We start from the raw sequence: 16,300 nt of genomic DNA on the forward strand, positions 1-16,300 counted from the left end.
GGGAACGGCTTCCACACCCAGGCTTCTGGGTTTCTGACTCACAAAAAGTCAAACGAATGGCTCTGGGGTATGAGAAACAGACACTGCATCTGGGGGTGGATACTCCACAGAAGCTCCAGTGTCTCCCTGGAGAAACAAACTATCCAGCTCCTGGTACTGGCACACTGGGAGTAGCTATACAGATATAGCTAGACCACCCAGTGGAAGGCAGGTCCTGAAACTCCTGCCTGGCTGTTCTAAAGAAGGTCCAAGCAAAGCAAATGATAGATAGAGCCCTTGGGAATCTGTGTTACCCAAGCACAGGACAGTGTCTGGCTTGGAATGGGAGTGGGGGACAGGGTGATGATGTCATCTGTTAATTCTCAATCTTGCAACTCAGCAGAGCATGCTCTTCCTACTTACTAGTGCTGTGAGCAGCTCTAGTTTTCCTAAGTTGCCCACTGAACTTGTTCCTAAGTTGCAACAATGAACTTGTTTGTTCACAACACAGCTTTGTAAGCACTTAATCTCCTCCCTGGCAAAGCCCACTCTGGAAAGGCCTCAACTTTGTTACATTGTGTGCACAGAGGGGACACAGAGCCATGTACACAGGGTACAGGAATACACACAGAGACTTGAGAACACAGGCACATCCAGACAGACAGACATGGACACAGAGGAAGATGATGTATATACACACACAGGCACACACATATATAGAGGCACAAGCATACAAGCACACCAAAGCCAAACAGTGTTAGAGCTAGAGAGAATCTTAGAAGTCATTTAAGAAATTTAGCCCTCTTATTTTACAGGAGAGGAAACCGCAGCCAAGTGAAGGAACTCTATGATCACACAGTTGTTTTTTATTATTTCTTTCTTTCCTGTGCCGTTTTGGTTTAATTTGTTCTTTCTTCAGATTCTTAAAGTGGAAGCTTAAATCATTGACCTAAAACTTTTCTTCTTTCTTACTATAGGAATTTAAAGCTGTGAATTTCATTTAAAGCACTACTTTAGCTGCATCCCACAAATATTGATATGAAATGTTGTATTTTCATTATTATTTAGTTTCATTGCTCTGATGATTTCTGAATCAACTCATGGGTAATTTAGGAGTGTGTTGTTTAATTTCCAAATATCTGGGGCTCTGCTAGATGTCTTATTGTTACTGATTTTAAAATTAGTTCTGTTTTGGTAAGAAAACATAATTTGCAACATTTAATTTTTTTTTTTTTTTTTAAGACGGAGTCTCGCTCTGCTCAAGCTGGAGTGCAGTGGCGCGATCTCGGCTCACTGCAACCTCCGCCTCCTGGTTTCAAGCAATTCTCCTGTCTCTGCCTCCTGAGTAGCTGGAATTACAGGCACACACCACCATGCCTGGCTAATTTTTGTATTTTTAGTAGAGACGGGGTTTCACAATGTTGGCCAGGCTAGTCTCGAATTCCTGATCTCAGGTGATCCACCTGCCTCAGCCTCCCAAAGTGCTGGGATTACAAGCATGAGCCACCGCACCTGGCTTTTTTTTTTTTTTTTTTTTTTTTGAGACAGAGTCTCGCTCTGTTGCCCAGGCTGAAGTGCAACTGCGTGATCTCGGCTCACTGCAACCTCCGCCTCCTGGGTTCAAGCAATTCTGCCTCAGCCTCCTGACTAGCTGAGATTACAGGCGTTTGCCACTACACCTGGCTAATTTTTACTATTTTCAGTAGAGATGAGGTTTCACCATGTTGGTCAGGCTGGTCTCCAACTCTTGACCTCAAATGATCCTCCTGCCTTGGCCTCCCAAAGTGCTGGGATTACAGGCATGAGCCATCACACCCAGGCTTTTGCAAAATTTAAATTTTTTAAATGAACTGAGACTTATTTTATGGCCCAGCCTATGGTCTCAGTTGGTAAATTATTGATATGCACCTGAAAAGAATGTGTATCTGGAGTTCTCAAGTGTAGTTTTCTATCAACATCAATTAGGTCAAGAAGGTTTACAGTATTGTTCAAGTCTGCTACATCCTGACTGATTTTTTTTGTCTATTTTTTCTATTCATTATTGGGAGAGTGGTGTTAAAGTTTCCAACTATCCAGTTCCAAAAGGCCACATATAATATGATCCCATTTATATGAAATGTCCAGGATATCCAAATATATATACACAGAAATTAGTCTGTAGAGGCTGAGTATGGTGGTTCAAGTCTGTAATCCCAGCAATTTGGGAGCCCAAGGCAGGCAGATCATTTGAGGTCAGGAGTTCGAAACCAGCCTGGCCAACATAGTGAAACCTCCATCTCTCACTTCCCACTTGACACATCCCATTTCCCACTTCACACTGACATTCCAATTCACAAATGTATTAATGTTTTTTTTTTTTTTAAATGTGTAGAGACAGGGTCTCTCTATGTTGCCCAGGCTGCTCTCAAACTCCTCGGCTCAAGCAATCCTCCAGCCCCGGCCTCCCAAAGTGCTGGGATTACAGGTATGAGTCACTGTGCCCAGCCACAAATGTACTAATCTTACAATAGTAGAATTCCATTTACCTGCCCCCGCTTGCCTTGTGCCATTGTCATAACTGCTACTTTTACATGTGTTTTAAAGTCCAACTTATGGCCATAAGGGGGCATGGCCATTAAGTTGGACTTTAAAACACATGTAAAAGAAGTAGTTATGACAGTGGCACAGCACCTGGCCAAGGGAAGCAGGGGTGGGCAAATAAAATTCTACTATTGTAGAATAGTAGAATTCCAGCCTTAATCCCAGCACTTTGGAAGGCCGAGGCAGGAGGATTGCTTAAGTCCAGGGGTTTGAGACCAGCCTGGGCAACATGGGGAGACCTCATCTCTACAAAAATATTTTAGAATTAGTTGGGCATGGTGGTGCGTGTCTGTAGTTCCAGGTACTCAGGAGGCTGAAGCAGGAGGATCACTTGAGCCCAGGAGATTGAGGCCGCAGTGAGCCATGGCTGTCTCAAAAAATAAAAATAAAGTCCAATTTATGATGTTATTATTTTGCTTTAAGCAGCCAGTTGTCTTTTACAGAAATTATGACAAGGGAAATAAGTGTTTTATGTTTACTCATTTCCAAGCTTTGTTAGAGTAGGTCTTACTCTAGTTCATGGTGCTTACACCTAAAGCATGGCATTGCTGGTGTTTTACATAGATGCCCAGGGTGTTAAAGAGTTTTTTCCATTTTGGCTGGCCCAGACTGCCAATATCTTCCAGAACTGCTCAACTTCTCCAGTCTTTTTTCCTGTTCTCAATCACATAGCAGCTGTTCTCTGGTAAGCATCACACAGTCTCACCCTACACGTGCTAGCACAGTCCCCAGGGAAGGACTTGCAGTGAACCCCATACAGACTTATGGGAACCCCCTTCAGTATAGCTCCCTCCTCTGTGACGCACCCCTCCACAGATTCCAGCTACTTCAACAGCCCTGAACGCTGAGCTTTGTCACTCAGCACAGCAGGACTGCTGTGTTCTGCTTGAGGTCTAGTTCCCCGCACTGCAGTCAGGAATTGTCTCCAAGCAAAGAACTGGGGCAACTGTGGGGCTCACTTTCTGGGTTTTCCTTCTGTGGATGGTTGTTCCCTAAACGACACAACAGTATCTCCCATTCCCACGTTCTTCTCACGATGTGACTTTAACACTCCTCTCAGCAATCGTGGGGTCTATGTTCCCTCCCCTTGAACCTGGGAGGCAGCTGTGACTGCTCTAGCCAATGGAGTGCAGTAGAAGCAATAGTAGGTCATAAAAAGGATATAGTTCCTCTCTCTTCTCCCCGCTCCCAACACTCATCCCCAGGACCCAGACACCATGTTATAAGGAAGCCCAAACTAGCCCACACGGACAGACCATGTGGATAGGTCCATGTGAAAAATAACTGAGGCCACCAGCCAACAGCCAGCATCGACTGCCAAATATCTAAACACACTTCAGATGATGCCAGCCCCAGACACTGTAGAATGGAGACAAGCTGCACTGATGTGCCCTATTTGAAATTTCGACTCACAGTTATCTGTGAACTTAATAAATGGTTGTTTTACTTCACTAAGTTTTGGGGGTAATTTGTAATGTAGTCATAGTAACTAAAATACTCTCTTTAGGAATTGCAGCTCTGTGCTGTCTGTTGTCCAATGCTGAAAATAGTTGCCTTACATATTTTGTCCTGTATTATTGTTGTGGGGGAGCTAGTCTTCAAACCCAGACTTTAAGCCGAAGCTCAGTTCTCTAAAGTAATGATAAAGGTAATAACAACACTGAGAGCAACTTCCTTTTATAGACTGCTTTCTATGTCCTATGAGCTGTGTTAGGCATTGTACATATGTTATTTCAATGAAACCATACAACAATCTTGTGAAATAGGCATTATTAACCCCCATTGTATGGAGAAGAAAACTGAGGTTTATAGAGGTTAAATGAGTTATCCATGGTTTACGTATGGGTTTGTCTGGCACTGAAGCTCATGCAATTAACCACATACAAAAACACATATAGACATAGACACATCCCCAGTTGTGTGTGTATATATGTAATATATGTATATATACACACACACGTGTGCTTGCATAGGCATATAGAGACACGTACACACCCATTACACATTTCCAGAGTTTTTATGCTTTTAAAATATTTTCTTGTTCTCAGAGTTAAAAATCCCCTTCCCCAAATTTATGTTAAATAGACTGAAAGAAACTCAATCTGCTGGATATTAAGTTTCCCAAGCATACCCCAAGATGAAATTCTCTCCATCTGGGGCCACCACAGGCATGGGCAGCAGAGATATGCCTCTGTTCCCTTGCGAGGGATTGCCTGGGACCCGCACTTGCAGGGAGGTGGGGTGGGACTCTTAACAAGACTTGGCTTGGCAGACAGAAGCCTTCTCCTGGGGCTGCAAAGACTCTGTACTTGATGTTGTAAGAGTCTCAATTCAGAGAAACAAAGTGCTTCTCTGAATATGCAGAGAAACCAGAGAGCACAGAGCAAGAGCCCAGTGCTAGGAAGGGGAGGGGTGGAAGGCAATGAGAGATGATCCCTTGTTGAAGCAGGGTCATTTCCAAATATTCCCCAGTAGTGATGGGAGCTGGGTGATGGAAGGATGAGGCATTCGGAGAGGGCCCTCTTCATTCTGCAGTTTCCCCAAATTCAGCTTGCCCTTCGAGGGAAGGGGAGTAGGGAGGATACTGAGAAGCTCTCAACGGGCAGTTTGAGGGCAGGAAAGAAGCTCTTAGAGGAGCAAGAGTCTCAGGGCAGAGCATTGGGCTCAGTAATTCAGAACCTGTTCATATTCCAGCTGGATGCAGTGGCTCACGCCTGTAATCCAAGCATTTTGGGAAGCCAAGGCAGGCGGATCACTTAAGGTCAGGAGTTCGAGGCCAGCCTGGCCAATATGGTGAAACCCCGTCTTTACTAAAAATACAAAAATTAGCCTGGCATGATCGTGCATGCCTATAATCCCAGCTACTTGGGAGGCTGAGGCAGGAGAATCGCTTGAACCCGGGAGGTAGAGGCTGCAGTGAGCCGAGATCTAGCCATTGCACTCCATCCCGGGCAACAGAGCGAGACTCTGTCTCAAAACAAAAACAAAACAAAACCTGTTCATATCCCTTCTCCTTAAAATAGTGGAGACCCTGGCCGTATTCTTGAGAAGAAGTAAGAACACAAGCAGACATGCTTCTTTGGGGGAGGAAAGAAAAGATACTGTTGTGTTATTACAACCACTTTTTTTTTTTTTTTTTTGAGACAGAGTCTCACTCTGTCGCCCAGGTTGCAGTGCAATGGCAGGATCTCGGCTCACTGCAACCTCTGCCTCCCGGGTTCAAGTGATTCTCCTATCTCAGCCTCCCGAGTAGCTGGGATTACAGGCGCCTGCCACTACGTCTGGCTAATTTTTGTATTTTTAATAAAGACGGGGTTTCACCATTTTAGGCAGGCTGGTCTCGAACTCCTGACCTAAGGTTATCCGCCCGCCTCAGCCTCCCAAAGTGCTGGGATTACAGGCGTGAGCCACCGCGTCCGGCCTACACTTTTATCTAGAAAATAGATGCCTTATATTGATCCCCACCCCTACCTCACAAAAAAATTCCCCTTGCGCAACCTACAACAAGCAAGTTGAGTCCAAAGCAAGAAAATGGAAAGGGAGCTCTCTAAGGTTCACCTTCCTGCCCCCTTAAGTTCAGTCCTGAAGCCCCGTTTAAAGCTCCTTAGAAGCAACTCTTGAGAGTATACTACTCTTGCCCATTTTACAGACAGAAAAACTAGTTCTGAGCAGTTTAAATGGCTTGCCCAAGCAGGTCAGCGGCGGTCCCCGGCCAGGAAGCCAGCGCTGTGTCCCGCGTCCCGGCCAGCCAGCGGTACCCTCTCCACAGCACCAAACTGAGGCTTCCACACGGTTCGGGGGCATCCGACGAATGAACCTCATTCTCCCCAGCCTAGGTGGTGAGGGAGAGTGGCCCCGTGCCAAACTAGGGTAGGATGTCCCCTCTGGGCTCTTGCCCGTCTGTCCGGTCTCGTCTCTGCACCCACCCCAGCCCATCAGTGCGGATCCGCGTGCCTGTGTGGTTCCAGCCTGGCACGGGGAAAAAACTGCCCGGCTCTTTATGTTCAAGTGCGAAGGGGGCGGAGGACAGGGGTAGGGTAACGCAGATTGTCTGCTCACAGGGGACTGCCGGGTGGCCTGACTGCCGAGTTCTGACAGGTCTCAAGCACACGCACCGCTCTCCGCCAGGTACACACGGCGTACCTCCGCCTCCTTGCGCAGCTCCTGGCCTCCGCGCTCCGCGGGCTGGGCGTCCAGGTGGCCCCACAGTAGCAGCTGCAGGGCGCGCAGCAGGAGGCCGACGCGCGCGACCATCTCGCCGCCTCCGGTGCAGCCCGGCTCGGGGAGCTACTGCGCGCAGGGAACCAGCCGGCAGTCAGCCGCGCCCGGGACCCCGGGGATGGGACTGCTCTGCGCCGCCCCCGCACGGAGAGGGACTGTCCCGGGGTTTCGCCAGTGCCCTAGCTGCGCGCTCTGGGCCGCTCCTCCGCTGCCCTTCGCCGGGAGCCGGCCAGACGTCGTCCAGCCCGGGCAGTGCCTGCCCGCGGGTCCGCCGGCCCCGGGGACCGAGGGAGGGAGGAAGGAAAGGCAGGCGGAGGGGGCGGAGGCCCGGCACTCCCGCCCCACCCACCCCGCGCCGCTGCTGGAACGCGAGGCGGTCCCGGAGCCTCTTCCGTTCGCTGCACAGCCTCGCCCTGCGCCCGCCACCGCCCTGCGGATCGGTCCTCTCGCCCGCCACCTCCAGTTGACCCGGATCTGTCCAGGGAGGGTGAAGGAAGAAAGGCCTTCTCCTGGCAAGCGTGGCTACCTAAGACTTCGATGAAGAGAGGTCCTGGTCTACCAGAGGGTCGTTGATTGTTTCAGCTGGGTGGGGAGCGAGGCCCCCACCCAGGGTCGGGGTGCGAGAGAAGCAGCACAGAGCTGGAGTCAGAACTGGGTTTGAGTTCCAGACTTGCTCCTTTGCTAGCCCTTTGAGTCCTGCCTCAGCCACCTGCTGGCTGTGTGGTCTTGGACCAGTCACTCACCCTCTCTGAACCCACTTTTCTCATCAGTAAATGGGATAATAAGAATACCGATATTCTGTGACTGTTGGGGAGATAATAACGCCTGTAAATTACTGAACAGGGTGCATGGCATCACGAAGTGTGCACTTAATAAGGGGCAGGCTGCAGCTGTGTGATCTTTGGCAAAGGATTTAACTACTTCGAGCGTCAGTTTCCTCATCAATAAAATGACAGCATACGATATTTAGTGCCCAGCGTTGCATGAGGATGAAAAGAGAAAATGAGTGTAAAGTGCCTGATTTTATATACCCCATAAGGTTGGAGTGAAACGGTTTACGTGAAAGCCTTTGCTAAACTCATATTGAGCAAAAAGTAAACTATTTTCATTATCTGTCTGTGTAACTGAGAGCTGGTTGCTGTCTCACTTCTACCCAATTCACTACATTGTAAAATGCAAATGGAAAATGATACTGAGCTCTGGGGGTCATTGTGGGATTAGATGAGTTAATGTGTGTAAAAATAATCTAGAATCCCTAAAGTGCTGAACAAAAATAATGCTGTGTTCCAACCCTAAGGCTCAGGGCCTCGGTATCACACAACGTTTTTGTACTATTTAGAAAAATACACCACTTGTGTGGAGGAATTGGAAAAAGCCCTTTTAATAGACATTTTATGTGTGTATATATGTACATATGTATTTTTAAGACAGGGTCTTGCTCTGTCGCCCAAGCTGGAGTGCAGTAGCACAATCACAGCTCACCGTAGCCTTGACTTTCAAGGCTCAAGCAATCCTCCCATCTCAGCCTCCTGAGTAGCTGGGATTGCAGGCATGTGTCACTGTACCCAGCTAATTTTTTAATGTTTTATAGAAGAAGGGATGGAAAGATTCTGCCTGGAGAAAGAATTGGCAAACCTAGGTCTGACTCCAGCTTGTTCCACAGTGTCCTTACCAACTGATGATCATCAGAGCTCCCTGCCCAAAGCAGGGCTATCCGGCCTGTCAAAATCCATCTACTGGTAAAAGCCACCATATATCATGCCATACCTGTAACTACAAACACACACACACACACACACACACACACACACTCTCTCTCTCTCTCTTGCTTTCTCTCTTTCTAAGGTTGCCAGATGAAACAGAGGATACCCAATTAATCCTGAATTTCAGATTAATGATGAATAATTTTTTAGTATAAGTGTCCCAAATATTGCATAGCACCCAGTTACTTTTTAAAATATTCATTAATCTGAAATTCAAGTTTAACTGGAGTCCTGTATTTTTATTTGCTAAATCTAGTAATACTATCTCACTCTCCTTCAGAAGCTCCCTCCCCAAGGTCCACTGCAGGGTTTTGATTGAATCAGCCGCTGTGTTACAGTCTGTTCTTTTTGGGGGGATATGGGTTGAGTACAGGGTCTTGCTGTGTTGCCCATGCTGGCCTCAAACTCCTGGCCTCAAACGATCCTCCTGAGCAGCTGGGACTACAGGCATGCACTGCCACGCCCACCTCGCAGAAGGAAGGAGGACCTTCCTACTAGTTACCTGACAAGGCTGGAAGCTCTCTAAGAGCAAGGGGCAGGCCAGCTTCATGTCCACTACCTCTGGGGCACCAACCCAGGCAGGGATGCTTCTTATGAATGTGCAGAGGGCATCCTCAAAGAGGGGACATAGATGGCAAAGAGATCCATCCTCAACTCCAGAAATCTTGAGGCTCCCTGACGGGGATGCGTCTGCACATCCTTTTTCTCATTGGTCTGCCCAGAGAAGTGCCTTTTTAAAATTGGTATGCCCAGGATGGATGCCCCTTTTTCATTGGTTGGTTGGAAGGTGAACAGGACCTGTTTCCAATTAGTCTCCCTCAAAGGAATGCCTGTTTCTTTTTATTTTGTTTCTTTTTATTTCGTTCTTTAGAGACAGGGTCTTGCTCTGACTCTCAGGCTGGAGTACAGTGGCATAATCAGGGCTCACTGCAGCCTTGACCTCTCAAGCTCAAGCCATCCTCCCACCTCAGCCTCCGGAGTAGCTGAGACTACAGGACACACCACCACGCCCGGCCAGGAATGCCTGTTTCTAAAATGTTTATTCTGGCTGGGAATGCCTGCTCTAAAATGTCTATTCTGACTGAGTGCGGTGGCTCACACCTGTAATCCCAACATTTCAGGAGGCCAAGATGGGAGGATCACTTGAGCCCAGGAATTCAAGACCAGCCTGGCCAACATAGTGAGACACACTATGTCTGTGTCACATCCCAGAGGTTCTCCATTTCAGCTTCACTGGGAAGAGACGGTAAGAGGAGAAGTCATGGTTCTCTGGAGGGCTGAATGTCTGGGAGGAGACAAGCTTGGCCACTTGGAAAGCTGATCCTGACTCTCTCTGCATCCCAGCCTAGCTCTGGTCCCTGAACCCCTCAAACTAGCACCACTGTGCATTTGAAAGTTGACTTTCTCTATTTTCCTTTTGTGTTCTTGGTTGGATTATTTCATCCCATCCTTTCCTCTCCCTATGCCATCTCTGCTTGTGGTCACCTTGAAGTGCCATCCAGACTTGAAACTGCCTGCAAGAATTTATGCAGAACAAAGCTTTCTCCACCCATATGCTTACCCTGGGCTTCAACCCTGCCTTTGCGTAGGATGTCTCTTTCCCGGGAAGATAACATATTTCCATGGTTTGAATTTGGGCAGCAGGAGGTTCCGGTTCCCTTCTTCCTCTGAAGATTACTCATAAATCCCAGAGCACCAAATTCTGTGATCTTCAAAATCCAGGGGCCTGTGAAGCCCCACAAGTGTGACTTGCTGCATGTTTTCATGTCTAGTACACATCCTGAGCCAAAATCACTTTGGATGGGGTGGGGAGGGTGGGCAGCAGCTTGCTGTGTGGATGCTGGGAGGATGGGAGGGGGTCCAAGGAGAAAAGGAAGATGAAATCGGGGCAGTTTATTGAGAAGAGACTCAGTTCATAGCAAGGGAATCTGGAGAGTGACTGGAGAATGGCTTTGGATCAGGGATTCTCAAACCATGACCCAAAGATTACCCACATCCAAAAGAATACTGTGGTGGCAAGTCCCTATGTTAATCCAATACCATTATTTCCTACTCTGGTAGGAGTGGGTGTGGGGATGGGAATGAGGAGTTGGAACAAATGATAGTGATTAATACTGTTGAGAAATTAACATGGGCCACATATGTGCTAATGTGCTTTACATAAATCATGTCATTGACTCTTTGCAACTTCCTTATGAGAAAGCTACTATTACAAGCATCCTAATTTTAAAGATGAGGAAACTGAGGCACAGAGAGATTGTATCATTTGTCCAGAGTCACAAATCTTATAACGGTTTCTCGTTTTTTTGTTTTGAGACAGAGTATCGCTCTGTCGCCCAGGCTGGAGTGCAATGGTGTGATCTCAGCTCATTGCAACCTCCACCTCCCAGGTTCAAACAATTCTCCTGCCTCAGCATCCCAAGAAACTGGGATTACAGGCGCCCGCAAATGCGCCTGGCTATTTTTTTTGTATTTTTAGTAGAGACGGGGTTTTGCCATGTTGGCCAGGCTGGTCTTAAACTCTGGGTTTCAGGTGATCCACCTGCCTCAGCCTCCCAAAGTGCTGGGATTATAGGCATGAGCCACTGCACCCGGCCACAAATCTTATAATGGAAACTGTAATTCAACCTGGATGCTATAACTCCAGATCTAGGGCCTATAAATACTACACTATCTTACCTCAAGTCAAATTTATAAAATATGATTCTTAGATCACTTGCATTGAATCACCTGAAAAATTCAGATTCCAGACCCCTACTCCAGACCTACTGAATTACTAATTAGTAAATACCAGCTTCCAGGAGGAAGATAGGTTTTCCCAGGGTCTGTTTCTCTCCTTCCTTTTCTCCCTGTTTTGGCTGAGCAGATTCCTGACCCAGCTTGGATGGTAGTTCTCTTCACAGCTCCTCTTCAAAGAGAGCTGCTTCTCCTCCCTCCCTCTCTCTGCACTGGGGCTTGGCTTAGATCCACAGTGCCTCCCAGCACTCCCAGAGTGGACAGGATTCTGTGGAATTCATGCCAGGGCCTGGGCACATTGCCTGCCCAGGGGAGTGTCTGGCAGTGGCTGCTTCCCAGCCATTCCTCCTGCTCTGACAGAAGACAACAGCAGGACCTCTTGAATCAGGCAGGATGTGTGAGCCTGGACAAGGTTCCTCTGGGCCTCAGTTTCTCTCTTTGTAATATGTGGAACAATCAGCTTTGTCTCTGCCCCTTCCTCCTCCCCAGGAAGTGTGTGGAACACAATGTAGATTTTCTCAGGAAGAATTCTGGGCTCTGGGGACAGGCACTCAAGAGACCAACCTCAAACACATAAGCAGAGGAATAATTAGCAGAATAATGAGGACATGATGTTAGATTGGGAGAGCTGAAGAGGAGGCCTTCCTGAGTTGTGAGGACTTTTGCCGTGATAATTTAAATTCATTTTTGAGCATAGCCTCTGCATTTTTAGCTGTGATTCAATTCCAGAAGCCCTGACTCTAGCAACCATCTCTGCCTCTGGAAGGGAAATGTCCTCTCTCTGGCACGTGGGGATATGGTCTCAGCAGTCTGGGTCCCATTCACAGGCATACCTCACTGTCTGCTCCCCCGTACGTGTACACATATGCTCATACGGGACTGGAAAAAGTAAGAAATTTGGAGCAAGATAAACCTGAGTTTGAATCTCAACTTTTTCACATTCTCTGTGACTTTTGCAAGTCAACTAACCTCTCTGAGTTTCTGCCATTATAAAATGGGAGGAAAATAATTCCTGCCTTTTCTGCTATCCCGTGTGCAATGCGGAACAAGCTAGACAATTAGAAAGTGCTAAATCCGGCTGGGCGCGGTGGCTTAAGCCTGTAATCCCAGCACTTTGGGAAGCCAAGGAGGGCAGATTACTTGAGATCAGGAGTTCGAGACCAGCCTGAAAAACATGGTGAAACCCCGTCTGTACTAAAAATACAAAAATTTGGCTAGGTGCGGTGGCTCACACCTGTAATCCCAGCACTTTGGGAGGCCAAGGCGGGAGGATCACCTGAGGTCAGGAGTTCGAGACCAGCCTGACCAACATGGAGAAACCCCATGTCTACTAAAAAAAATACAAAATTAGCCAGGCATGGTGGTGCATGCCTGTACTCCCAGCTACTTGGGAGGCTGAGGCAGGAGAATCGCTTGAACCCGGGAGGCGGAGGTTTCGGTGAGCCACGGTCACGCCATTGCACTCCAACCTGTGCAACAAGAGCAAAACTCCATCTCAAAGAAAGAAAGAAAGAAAGAAAGTGTTAAATCCTGCAAAGTGCTGGATATTGGGTGCACAGACCTGAAAGCACAGTCATGCATTCTGTGCACAGGTTCACACTGGAGCACGCTTACATCCAAATGACATACACAAACCTGCCCCAGGACAGTCACACGAGCACCTCCGCTCCTGGCAATGATCTGTGTCTCAGAGCAGCCCCATCTTCCCTAACTCTCATCATGGTCTAGCAGGGCGTCATCCTCTTCTTGTTTTTTACTCACACCAGGACCCAGCAGACTTGCAAGGAGCACAATAAAAGCCTGGCCAATCTGGCGCTGTGCCCCACTTCCCTTCCACATAAAGGCTGTCTAACCACCAGGCATCTGGCCTGAAAGCCTGGGCCAGGACCTGCTCAGCATCTGCTGCTTTGCTTAAAAGACCTGCTAACAGGAAAGTGTCTGGTTCCTTTCTACCCAAACAGGAAGCGCCTGCCACTGTTGGGAGGACGGGGTAGCCTGGTCATTTACAAGGAGCCTCCCTCTCCTGCACTGGAGCCTCAGAGTAATCACCCTGGCAGGGCCGCTCTCTAGGAAGGCCAGGGGAGAAGGGCTTCAGGGACGCCTCCACTGGGGTGGGAGTGGGGTGGTGACAACAGCTACACACTGCCTGTGGCAATTGGCACCAGGTGGTTGTCGTTCTTTCAACAAACACTCACTGAACACTTACTCTGTGCCCCATGAGAGACATAAGGAAGTCCTAGATAAGGCCTTTGAGCTTGAGGAGTTTAAAGACGAGACAGAAAGACAAGTCATGCTCTTTTTTTCCCCCATTTATTTATTCATTTATTACATGCCATTGTTTTTTCCTTTTTAAAAATGCTAGTGTTGGGCCAGGCGCGGTGTCTCACGCCTGTAATCCCAGCATTTTGGGAGGCCGAGGCAGGTGGATCATGAGGTCAGGAGATCGAGACCATCCTGGCTAATACGGTGAAACCCCGTCTCTACTAAAAATATAAAAAATTAGCTAGGCGTGGTGGCGGGCGCCTGTAGTCCCAGCTACTCAGGAGGCTGAGGCAGGAGAATGGCGTGAACCCGGGAGGCGGAGCTTGCAGTGAGCAGAGATTGTGCCACTGCACTCCAGCCTGGAGGACAGAGCAAGACTCTGTCTCAAAAAAAAAGAAAGAAAGAAAAAGGTACACCATGCAAATAGTAAGCATCAGAAAATTGTATTAATATCAGACAAAGTATACTTCAAGAAAAAGAATACTACTAAAGAAGAAGAGAGAGATTTCCTAATAAAAGGATCAACTCATCGAGAAGATATCATAGTCTTAAATGAATATAAGAACTTCAAAATACATGAAGCAAATATTGAAAGAACTAAAGGGAGAAACAAAAACTTCCCAATCATATCTGGAGATTTTAGTACCCAACTCTTAATAACTGCTAAATAAACAGAAATCAATAAGGATATGTAAATCTTAACACAATGAACCAAATGGACCTAACCGACATTTATAGGTTATTACACCCAACAAGTGAAAAATACATATTCTTTTTCATATACACATGGAACATTCACCAAGATACACTGTATGCTGGCCCAAGAAACAAGTCTCAATAAATATTCAAGAATCAAAATAATACCAAGTATATTCTCTGACTATAATGGAATTTGATTAGAAATCATTAACAAGAAGATATTTAACCCCCCCAAATATTTGTAAATAAAGAATGTAATTCTAAATAATCTGTGGGACAAAGATGAAATCACCAGGGAAATTAGAAAATAACTGAATGATGAAAACCTGTCACATGAAAAACTACGGCATTATGAAGCTAAAGCAGCACTTAGAAGAGAATCTGTAGCGTTCAATGCTTCTATTCAAAAAGAAGAAAGGTGTAAAATAAAAGAATGAAGCTTCCACCTTAAGAAGCTAGGAAGAGTTGAGGAAACTGAACCCAAAGGAAACAGAAGAAAGAAAATAATAAGATTGTTATTCACTGAAACAGAAAACAGACTAAGAAAAAGAAAATCATCAAAGTCAAAATGAGTCATTGGAAAGACTGATAAAATTAATAAACTCTTGCTGCTTCTCAAACATTTTCCAGTAGGTTATTCACAAATTTGCATTAGAGACCAGCAGTGGATGCTCTCAGCATGTAGGTGTAGCCCTCTTGCCACTCGTGGGGGAGAGACATGGAGGGACGCACAGCCCCCAAGACTCAAGAGATGGAGGGGGAACCTGGGAGACCCAGACCTCCAGGAACTCATTAGACATACAGGACATAGGGATAGGTCCCTGGGGTGTTTTCTGCATGGACCCACAGCCTGTAGGGAGCCAAGGAAGAGCCACCTTCATGCAGAGAAGAGGAAAGGAAAGGATAGCAGAGGGAAGTCAACCTGAGAAGAAACTCATGAACAATTTTTTAAAAAATCTAGGTCTTGGGGCTGGGCGCGGTGGCTCACGCCTGTAATCCCAGCACTTTGGGAGGCCGAGGCGGGCGGATCACGAGGTCAGGAGATCGAGACCATCCTGGCTAACACGGTGAAACCCCGTCTCTACTAAAAAAAAAAAAAAAAAATTAGCCGGGCGCCGTGTAGTCCCAGCTACTCCGGAGGCGGAGGCAGGAGAATGGCGTGAACCCAGAAGGCGGAGCTTGCAGTGAGCCGAGATAGCGCCACTGCACTCCGGCCTGGGCGAAAGAGCGAGACTCCGTCTCAAAAAAAAAAAAAAAAAAAAAAAAAAAATGCTAGTGTTGGACTGGGCGTGGTGGCTCATGCCTGTAATGTAACTTTGGGACGCCAAGGCAGGCGGATCGCTTGAGGCCAGGAGTTCGAGACCAGCCTGGCCAACATGGTGAAACCCCGTCTCTATTAAAAATACAAAATTGGCCGGGCGAGGTGGCTCACGCCTGTAATCCCAGCACTTTGGGAGGCCGAGGTGGATGGATCACGAGGTCAGGAGTTCAAGACCAGCTTGGCCAAAATGGTGAAACCCCGTTTCTACTAAAAATACAAAAATTAGCCGGGCACAGTGGCAGAAGCCTGTAATCCCAGCTACTCGGGAGGCTGAGGCTGAACCCGGGCGGCAGAGGTTGCAGTGAGCGGAGGTCGAGCCATTGCATTTCAGTCTGGGTGACAAGAGTGAGACTCCGTCTCAAAAAAAAAAAAAAAAATTAGCCAGGTGTGGTGGCACATGCCTGTAATCTCAGCTACTTGGGAGGCTGAGGCAGGAGAATCCCTTGAGCCTGGGAGGCGGAGGCTGCAGTAAGCTGAGATCGTGCCACTGCACTGTCTGGGTGACAGAGTGAGACTCTGTCTAAAAAAAAAAAAAAAAAAAAAAAAGCCTACTGTTTCAGGCATTGTGCTGGGCACTGGACATTCAGAAAGGAATTATGCAACCCAACTAGAGAGCAAACAGGCAAAGCATGCAAGCCTTGAATTATGCAGTACAACTGTGAGTTCCAGAGGATTTCAAAAAAGGCAAAAAATCATCATGGTCTGGTTTTTACTTTGGTCAGAGCAATAACCTTTCCCT

At 47.3% G+C, this 16,300-nt stretch overlaps 1 protein-coding gene across 14 annotated transcripts in view, besides 1 other annotated feature; it reads right to left on the reverse strand.

Moving 5' to 3' along the window:
- The window catches only part of MMP28 (matrix metallopeptidase 28), a 39,393-nt gene extending 32,316 nt beyond the window's left edge, over positions 1-7,077 (reverse strand). For 11 of the 14 annotated variants that reach the window (NR_111988.2, XM_017025064.2, XM_011525231.2 and 8 more), the window contains exon 1: positions 6,703-7,077. Coding sequence is in view for 9 of the 14 variants with exons in the window: in XM_017025064.2 (XP_016880553.1) it covers positions 6,703-6,813 (111 nt within the window). In the remaining 5 variants the exon portion in view is untranslated. The other 3 variants (XM_011525229.3, XM_011525227.2, XM_047436731.1) reach the window with 3 other exon arrangements.
- Positions 6,403-6,941: an enhancer, noted in NCBI's record as "H3K4me1 hESC enhancer chr17:34121971-34122509 (GRCh37/hg19 assembly coordinates)". NCBI's record gives its function as "activates a minimal SCP1, AML or CMV promoter by ChIP-STARR-seq in naive H9 embryonic stem cells {active_cell/tissue: H9 hESC(naive)}" and the evidence as "EXISTENCE:reporter gene assay evidence [ECO:0000049][PMID:30033119]".

Source organism: Homo sapiens, chromosome 17 (genome assembly GCF_000001405.40).
Source record: "Homo sapiens chromosome 17, GRCh38.p14 Primary Assembly".
Lineage (NCBI taxonomy): Eukaryota > Metazoa > Chordata > Mammalia > Primates > Hominidae > Homo > Homo sapiens.